General features: G+C 45.8%; 1 protein-coding gene across 1 annotated transcript; it reads right to left on the bottom strand.

Moving 5' to 3' along the window:
- Positions 1–1,344: 1,344 nt before the first annotated feature.
- On the bottom strand, positions 1,345–2,964 carry CENPVL1 (centromere protein V like 1). The gene has a single exon (NM_001355277.1). It carries the CDS (start codon positions 2,962–2,964, stop codon positions 2,146–2,148), a length of 819 nt encoding a protein of 272 aa, NP_001342206.1. The 3' UTR covers positions 1,345–2,145.
- Between the last annotated feature and the right edge of the window lie 6,586 nt (positions 2,965–9,550).

Here is a 9,550-nt window from a genome sequence, read left to right as displayed (position 1 = left end):
GTACCTCCAGTCATTCATTTAGTCTGCTCTTGGTCTTGCTCAGAGATAGGAGTCAGTCACCTATTTTGTTTCCTTATTATGTCTTCAATCATACACAGCTGTACACAAAAAAATATGTGACCCGTTAAACACATCTGAGTGGCCACCATGTGGGAGAACCGAATGAAACATAACCAGCTCCCTAGGAGCCCACTGTGCCAGACTGTATGGCCACAAAAATATCTCCCATCTCTCGTGCTGTGATAAAAGTTGCCCCGTTCACACCGAGACCTGCGATTTAATCTCCCTCCCACGCTTGAATCTGAAAAGGCTGTGACTCACCTCTAATCAATAGAGTATGACACAGTTGACTCAACATGACTTCTGAGTCTTGCCTATGAGAGGTGATGCAACATTCACCTTGGATATGGAAAAGTGCCGCTTGGAGCCTGAGTCATGAGGTCGGAAGCCTGACTACTGGGAGGCCCACCCTGCTGTGAGGAAGCCAAAGGCCACGGAGTGGTAATACGGAGGCCCTCCACTCGCCAGGCCTAGTCTTCCAGTCCTCTCCATGCAGGCACCAGGGATGTCAGTGAATGAGCCTTCAGATGGTTCCAGTCCCCAGCCAGTCAGGTTTCTGCAGCTGAGGTCCCAGACTCATGTGAAGCAAGCCATATCCACTGTGCCCTTTCTGAATTCCTGCCTCTGAAATTCCATGCATATGATACAACGCTCGTCATTGTATGGACTCACTGTGGGGCTGTTTGTTACACAGCAAGAGGAACAGGAATGCAGGACACCCTCCCCTCCCCCCACCCCCACTCAAAGCCATTCCTCCTCCATAGAGTTAAACCCTAATCTGATGCTGGCTTAAATTATTTCACTGCCTAATTCATGGTTTTCCCATGTGTATGGACGCCCCTAAACAATGCGGTTTCATATTGTCTGGGTGCCTTGATAGGAGGAGTTTTGGGGGCCTGAAATTGAGAAAACAAGCATTCATGGATCAGGTAGTCAAGGCAAGGCACTGTGTTTACCCCAAGAACAAACACTCTGTTAGCTGTTAACATTCTTGAGGAAAGAGCAAGTTGAGGAATGGGGTTTAATCTACTCGATACCGGTTATACAGCGAGCAGGCGGCAGGTCCAGGATTCAAACACAGGTAGTGTGTCCCCAGAGGCCAAATGTGTAAACCCTCTGCTAATTCCCCTCATCAAAAGGTAGGGGACCCTGGGGAAGCTTTCTCTACTACAAAAGCCAGAGTCACCACCACCTTCTGAAATAATCTGAGACCAAGTACCTTCAAAAACCAAGCCTTGCCATACATAGCCAAGCCGGACTTTATAGACACACCAACACACATAGTTTCCTAGAAGGTATTTACTGATTTCTATATACTTAACACATGTACAAGACAGGTATTTCAAAAGATTAAAGAGGGCAGACAGTGCGCAGATGTCTTTCTCATTCCTGTGTGCACAGATGTCTTTCTCATTCCTGTATCCCCATCTCCTTACCCAGAGACACTTCCCAAACAACAAGCGAAATAGTAACAGCTTTCGCTGTTACAGGAAATAAAGAGTAATGAGGTATGTAACACGACCAAATCTTGAAATATATCATTTAAAAACCAGTAAATAGCATAACTCGAATCTAAGCAGTGAAAATATGAACGTCTACCTGAAACTCACAGGTGCGGGAGCCCACGCACACCATAATCAATGGAAGACGTCCTAGCACATGTTTACAAACTGGTTGTGTGTTGCCGTCCTACACACCAGAGGCAAAGCGCTGAAAACAACAAGCCTGTTCACAATAGCACCAGGAACGTACAGTACACAGGAATCATCTGCAGGTGATTTGTGACAACTGTAGGCAGAACAGTAAAAGCGAGAGATACAATGGATGGTTTGAAAAATCAGAGACACTCTTCTTCCTTACCGAATTGCAAGATTAACGTTGTACTACGCAGACAAAGGTGTGTTCAAGATTTGGATCGTAAGCGAGTTCACTGAAAACTAGCGGAGGGGAAGGGCAAATACTGGAAGGGAATCCCCGGTGTGACCAGGCCAGAAACACCTCTTTCACAGCATGGGATCTGTGCAGGTACTCGGACGCTCCCCGCAGGGCCGCCCGGGCCGGTTTCAGGCGGGCTTGCGGCCCCAATCACTGCTCCTGTTCGCGGGGACAGGCAGGGGCTGACTGGGAGGACGTCTTGTGGATGGCCTTGTGCTCCTCGGCGGCCTCCTCCCCCGGGTCGCCACCGCCGACCTCCTCGATGACCACGCTGCGCACGGTGCCCTCGTCCAGGCAGTGCGGGGCGACGCCGTACACGCGGGGGTCAGAGACAGCTGCGTGGAAACTCTGCACCCCGCACCTGCTGCAGAAGCTGTGCAGCGCCGGGTGCGTGTTGGACCGATAGGTGACGATGCTTTCTGCGCCCTGGAGCAGCGTGAAGCGCGAGGCCGGGACGAGGAAGTGGCGGTGCTGCTTCTTCCTGCACAGCCTGCAGCTGCAATCCACGACGCGCAGATCTGCAGGGGCCCAGACCGCAAAGCGGACCGCGCCGCAGTGGCAGCCCCCGGTGTGATGCACGAGGCCCGGGTACTCGAAGGTGTCCAGCAGGACCTTGGCGGCGCCCTCGCAGCTGAGGCCCCGCAGCTTCCTGAACGTCTCCCAGCGCTCCCGCTGTGCGCCCAGGTCCAGATCCTTGGGGGACGGGGCGGGCCCCGGCGGGTCCGGGGTTGGCGCGGAGGGCAGCAGGTCTCTGGGGCCCGCCTTCCGGACCCGCCGCCAGCGGCGCTTCCGTCGCCACCTACCCAGCCACCTCTTGGCCGCCGCGTGGCTCCCGACCCCGACTTGGACCCGGGGGCACTGCGCGCGGCTGGCGCCCGTGACCGCGATGGCCGCGCAGGCGGCGGGAGGATCCCCGGGCCGCTTTCGCCTCCGCCGCTGAGCAGTGGCGCGGTTCCTCACTCTGCCCATGGCGCCTGCAGCCTCCGGAGCGCGTGCCCACACCCCACCCTCATTTCCCCGTCAGTCGCTGAGCAGCCTCCTTGCCTGCGCCAGCAGGATTGGCCCCTTGTTGAATGCGATGTAAAGAGACCCTTCCCTTGACCCTATCACAACAGCCTTCGCTGGCCTGAAAGGCAGTCATGAGGCGTTCAGCAAACACCTGCCGGGCACCAGATACCCTCACCTGGGCGCTGGGATGTGGAGATGCATCAGGCTTTCCAAAGCACTCACATTCATTTAGGATCAGGTGTATGCAAATACAGTCCCCAACACCTTGGGACACTTTGCTCTGACAGAAATAAGAACCAGGGGCTCTGGGAACAGAGAGGAACGCCCACACACTGTAATTGGAGGGGCGTGTGGGAGGGGCACGGAAAGACTCTTCTAAAGTCTTCTTGGGGGCTTGATTCTTTTATTCGGCTGTAGCGTTTTATTTTTCTTGTAATTTTCGTTGCGATGAAGTCCTCTTTACCTAATGTTGACATACCTACTTCTGCTGTTTTAATTAATGTTTACCTGATGTGACTTTTCCCACCCGTTGTATCCTTTTCATTTACCCAGGGCGACCGAAGTGGAACTGAGTTTCATATAAACATGGGATAATCAGACCGTGTTTCTCACTGACTCTGCCAGTATCTACCTTTTCATACATGTTTCTAGTTCATTTCCATGATCTCTGGGCTAGTGTTTAGGTCCACAGATTTATTGTTTGTTTTCTTTTGTTTCCTCCGTGTCTCGGCTAACCGAGACCTCCTTTTTTTGCCCTTCTGTGGCTTACGTGTACACCTTGCAGGATTTATCCTGATTTCCGAAAGTGTTTTCGAGTGTTTGGCTTTGTAAAATTGTCTCAGTGGTTGCTCTGGGATTTTCAGTGTGCATATGTGACTTACCACAGGCTCCTGGTATCCAGTTCTCATCACTTCCATTGAAGTGTAGAAGCATCAGCCCCTTTTAGCCCCTCTGCCTTCCTGCTTGTAGACAACGTTGTCTGGAGTATCGGATGGTTTCATAGTTTTTGCTTTAATCGTCAAACATGACTTCCACAATTCACAAGGAAAACGGTGGCTTAGTGTTTGTCCCCTAAGGGTGTTTTTTCTACTGGTCTTGACTCCTTTCTGATAGATACTTCCAGAGGCCATCTTTTATTCTTTCCTCTTTTGTTTCAAGCACCTACTCTAGCCATTCTTTCACCGTGGGTCTGCTCGTGACAAAATGCTTTCCTTTACCTGAGAATGTCTTGATTTCCCCTTCGTCCATGAAGGATGGTATCACTGGATACAAAATTCACAGCTGACAGGACTTTTGTTCAACATCTGAAACTTTTCGGGACACTTCCTGATGACCGCCACTGGTCAGAGGAGACATTTGCCCTCATTAAAACTGGTGTTCTCCTATAATCAATGAACCACTTCGGTCTTGCTGCTTTCAGTGATTTTATCAGCTTCAAAAACTGACTATGATGTGTGTGTTGGTGTGAATCGCTTTGTGGTTGTCTTATCTGAAGTTTGCTCGTTTTCCAGAATCTATGGGTTTATGGTTTTCACTAAAATTTGGATATTTTCAGCCTTCTTTTCTTATACTCCTCTTTCAGTCCACTCTCTACTTTTGGTACTCCAGTCGTAGGGATATTGGAACTTTGTTATTGTCCTAACTTCGCTGAGGATCCATTCAGCTTTTAATCAGTCCACGATCTCTCTCTCTCGCTCAGGCACAGTCAGTCCTATTTTCTGTTTGTTTGTTTTGTTTCTTGAGGAAGAGTCTCGCTCTGTCACCTAGGTTGGAGTGCAATGGCGCAATCTCCGTTCACTGCAACCTCTGCCTCCCGGGTTCAAACGATTCTCCTGCCTCAGCCTCCCAAGTAGCTGGGATTACAGGCGCCCACCACCACGCCAAGCTAATTTTTGTATTTTTAGTAGAGACAGGGTTTCCCCACGTTGGCCCGCGGTGATCTGCCCGCCTTGGCCTCCCAAAGTGCTGGGATTACAGGTGTAAGCCACCATGCCCGGCCGTCAATCTTATTGATTGGGCCTCCATTACGATGATGGTATCTTTTGTCATCACAGGTCTCTTACCGAGTGCATCCAGCAATGTTTCCAAATTCTGTTATTGTTTTCGTTTTCTGTTCCATCATTTCTTTTTTATACATCTTCTACTCATTGCTGAGATTTTCCATTTTCTAGTCTGGTTCCAGACTATTTGCAATTACATAATGAAGCATTTTTATGATGGTTGCTGTAAAATGTTTGTCAGATAATGGCAACATCTGCGTCGTCTCTATGTTGGTACCACTGGATTCTATTTCCTCATTCAAGCTGTGTTATTCCTGGTTCTTCACATGGTGGGCTATGCTCTATGGCATACAATGTATTTTGCTTGTTACTTTAGGAGTCTCTGGACAGGAGACAAATATTTGATGTTAGAAGTCAGCTACTTTCTTTAGGTTTAGCATGTAGATTCTGGTGTCCATTTTTAGGTTCTGGGATTTTTAAAAAGTTTATTTTCAGAGCATTTGCGGTGCTATTTTTGTGTGTTTGGCTTACCTGCCGACACAGCAGCCCCAACTGCTCCCTACTGGTGGTATTTGAGAGGCAGAAAAAAACTAAAGTCCACACTTTATTCCAGGTTTCCTACTTACTTCCTACCTAATATCATTTTTTTTTTCTGTTCCAAGATACCATGCAGCCTACCACACTACATTTAATCATCATACTGCCTTAGGTTCCTCTTGGCTGGGACAACTTCTCAGACTTTGCTTGTTTCCATGACCTTGAGAGTTTTCAGGGTCACTAGTGAGGTATTTTCTAGAATATCTTTTTTTTTTTCTTTTTCTTTTTCTTTTTTTTTTTTTTTTTTTTTTGAGACAGGGTTCCTTGCTTCCCAAAGTACATGGGACTACAGGCATGCGCCACTATGCCCGGCTAATTTGTGACTTGTGTGTGTGTGTGTGTGTGTGTGTGTGTGTGTGTGTGTGTGTGTGTGTGTGTGTTTTGTAGAGACAAGGTTTTGCCATGTTGCCCAGGCTGGTCTTGAACTCCTGGACTCAAGTGATCTGCCTGCACCGGCCTCCCTAGAATATTTTTCAACTCAAGTTTTTCTAATGCTTGTCTCATGATTAGACTGATGTTGTGAGCTACCGGAGAATCACCACAAAGGTAAAGAGCTGTTTTCGTCTGATCGCATCAAGGGTACATAATATCAACATCAGTTTTGATTGTGTAAGTTGACCTTGGTCACCTGGCAGAAGCAGTGTTGGACAGGGTGCTCCCATGAAAAGTTGCTCTTTTAACCCCTGTCCACATGCTACTCTTTGGAAGGAAGTCATTAAGCGAAGTTCACACCTAACTGGTGCTAAGTTTTAAATCCTTTCTTTGAGGCAGAGTATCTACATACATTCTTTGGAATTCTCCTTCATGGCACAGCTATCTATGCTCCTGCATTTATTTCCTTATTCAATCGTTTATGTATATCATGATACTTTCACGGATATTTACTTGATACTTTAGATTATAATCCAATACTTTGCTATTTCTTTTTCATTATTATCATTCTTGCAGTTGTGGCCACTGGGTGCACGTTCAGTTCACCCCTAGGTCCCGTTGGTATGCTCCCATTATTTGGGGCTCCATTTTGTGTAATTCCTTGCTTTGTGGCTCATCCTGCACATTTCTGTCTTGCATATGTTCTAGGCTGGTCTGGCCTATTTACTAGCTCCTAGGATCAGCCAATTCTCCAAGGATTTCTGTTTCCTTTTATTAGAAAATGGTATCAGAGACCAACGTCTGGCAACTAGGTGTGCTCGTAGCTGCCAGAGTCTAGTGGTTCCTAGGCCCTCTCTGCTGAAGCAGAAAGGAAATACGTATGTATGTATACTAACCCACGTATGTACACATTTCTATAAATATTTTGATACATGACCATGAGGATCTATAATAAGCTGAATATGAGTTCCTACCCATGTCTGCAACTCTATTCCATTGCAGCACGAATCATTCTTGCCCCTGCCACATTACGATCTGCACCTCCCTCTCCAGCAGTGAAAAACCTGCCTCTCACCCTCCACCATCCATTTACTCATTGCAGTTCCAGTACACATGGAGAACGGTGTCAGATTTTTCAACCTGTGTCCATACCGGCAACAGGTTTGTCTAGTCGAGTATGCTGCATATGTACAATTGCCTTTGTCTTTAGCCTTACACACTTCTTTCATTTCCAAAGTTGCTTAGATCAGCACTTTGTACTTCACAGCCTTCAGTGAAGCTTTTCATTCATTGGTAAGGTTAGAACCTTTTGTCACATTCTGCATTTCAACCTGATAGTTCCCTACCTCCCTAATGATGTCTTAAAAGATTAAACACGTTAAGTTTCATTCTGTGTCCTGTCAGTTTCCACGGATTCTGACAAATGCTTTGTCTCATACAACCATCATTAGGGTATCTCACCCTGTCCTCACACAGAGACAGCTATTTTTATTTCCTCTTCTTCGGAGGACACGAACCCTATCATAAAGACTCCACCCTCATGACCTCATAACCTCAAACCCCATTACCTCCCAGAGGCCTCACTTGCAAATACCATCACACTGGGAGTCGGGACTTCAACACGTGAATTTGGGCGGGAAGCAAACATTCTGTCTATAACGCACATGATGGTTTCACTGCCCTAAAGCATTACCTGTGCTTTACCTACTCATGTCCTCCTGTAAAAGTCCCCTCCACATAGCTTGCCTCCTTCTACTCATCCTTTTGAATAAAGTTTCTCTTTACTAATCCTGGATTTGTATTTTGTTTGACAACACGTACGTTTTGAAGCAAACTGGGCAAACACTTAATAGCGAGAATGCTGGACCACCAGTGTGGCAAGACTATTGAGCCTTGTTAAGGACCAAGCAGACTCTCTTCCAAATTTGCTGGAAGATAGAGACTTCCCACTTTACATGAATGGACGTTCCTGTTCTGCATCCTTGGCAGCAGTTGGTTTGTCAGTTTGGGGGTCTTGGCCGTTCTGTTAGATGTGTAGTGTCATGTAATTATTATTTGAGTTTGCATTTATCTATCAATGCCAAATAACAGTAAACATTCTTTCACATGCTCATTTATCACTTCCAAATCTTTGGTGAGGTGTCTGCTCAGACCTTTAGCTCATTTTTAAATTGGGTTATTTGTGGTTGTTTGGTTTTTGAATGTCCACAGTTTTTTGAATATTTGGAATCAAGTCTTTTCTCAGATATCTCTTTGAAAATATTTTCTTTCAGTCCTTAGGTTATCTTTCTTCCTTAACAGTAATGTCTTCCACACAGCAGAAGTTTTAAGTTTTAACAAACTCCAAATAATTGCTTTTTGTTCACAGACTCTGTGGTAGGGTTTGTGACTAAAACCCCATCAGGAAACACAAAGACATGTTGATGTTTTTCCTGTGTTTTCTTCCCTGTGTTTTATATTTCTATATTTCTTTTTTTATTTTATATATATTGTTTGTTTGCTTGTTTTGTTTTGTTTTGAGACAGAGTCTCGTCCTATCGTCCAGGCTGGAGTGCAGTGGCGCGATCTCGGCTCACTGCAACCTCTGACTCCCAGGTTCAAGCGATTCTCCTGCCTCAGCCTCCCGAGAAGCTGGGATTACAGGCGTCTGCCACCATGCCCGGCTAATTTCTTTTTGTAGTTTTAGTAGAGACGGGGTTTCACTATGTTGGCCAGGTTGTTCTCGAATGATTGACCTCGTGATCCACCTGCCTCAGCCTCCCAAAGTGCTGGGATTACAGGCGTGAGCCACCGCGCCTGGCCTATAATTTATATTTTTATATTTCATGTGCTTTATAATTTGAATTTTACATACGGGACTTTGGTCCTTTTTGAGTTAATTTTTGTTAAAGTGTAAGTTCTTGGTCTAGGTTAATGTTTTTTCCATATGGGCCCGAAATCTCCCACCACCATTTACTGAAAAGGCTATCCTTTTCCCATTGTATTGTGCACGTGCCTTTGTCAAGGATCAGTTGAGAAATATTTCTGCAGTTCGATTATTGGGCTTGCTAGTCTGTTGCATTGAACTGTGTGTGTATTCTTAGTAAATGCCACCCTGTCTTGATTACTGTAGTTTTATAGTAGGTCTTAGAATCGCATCTTATGACTTTTGCAACTCCATTCTCCTTTTTTTAGAATGGCTTTTCTATTCTAGCACATTTGTGCTTCAGTACGAAATTTCGAGTCAATATGTTGATATCTACAAAGTGAATGCTGTAATTTTGATTGGGATTCTGATGTTACAATAGATCAGTCTCAGAGGATTTGAAATCTTCTAACAATTACAAATCTTCCAGTCCGTATATATGACATCTCTCTCCACTTATTCAGATCTTCTTTGTTTTTTCTTTCCTCATCAATATTTGTAGTCTCTGCAAGCAGATCCTATGCCTGACATTTAGATTTAGACCTAAGTACTTAATAGGTACTTAAGTTGCCCTTTAAAAAAATCAAATTCTCATTGTTCACTAGTCATATACAGCTAAACAGTCATCATCAATATATCGATTGTGTCCTGTGACCTTGAGAACCTCATTTAT

The sequence above is a fragment of the Homo sapiens genome, chromosome X, assembly GCF_000001405.40.
Source record: "Homo sapiens chromosome X, GRCh38.p14 Primary Assembly".
NCBI lineage: Eukaryota > Metazoa > Chordata > Mammalia > Primates > Hominidae > Homo > Homo sapiens.
Note: the sequence above shows the minus strand (reverse complement) of the source record. Positions and strands in the feature narration are given on the sequence as shown.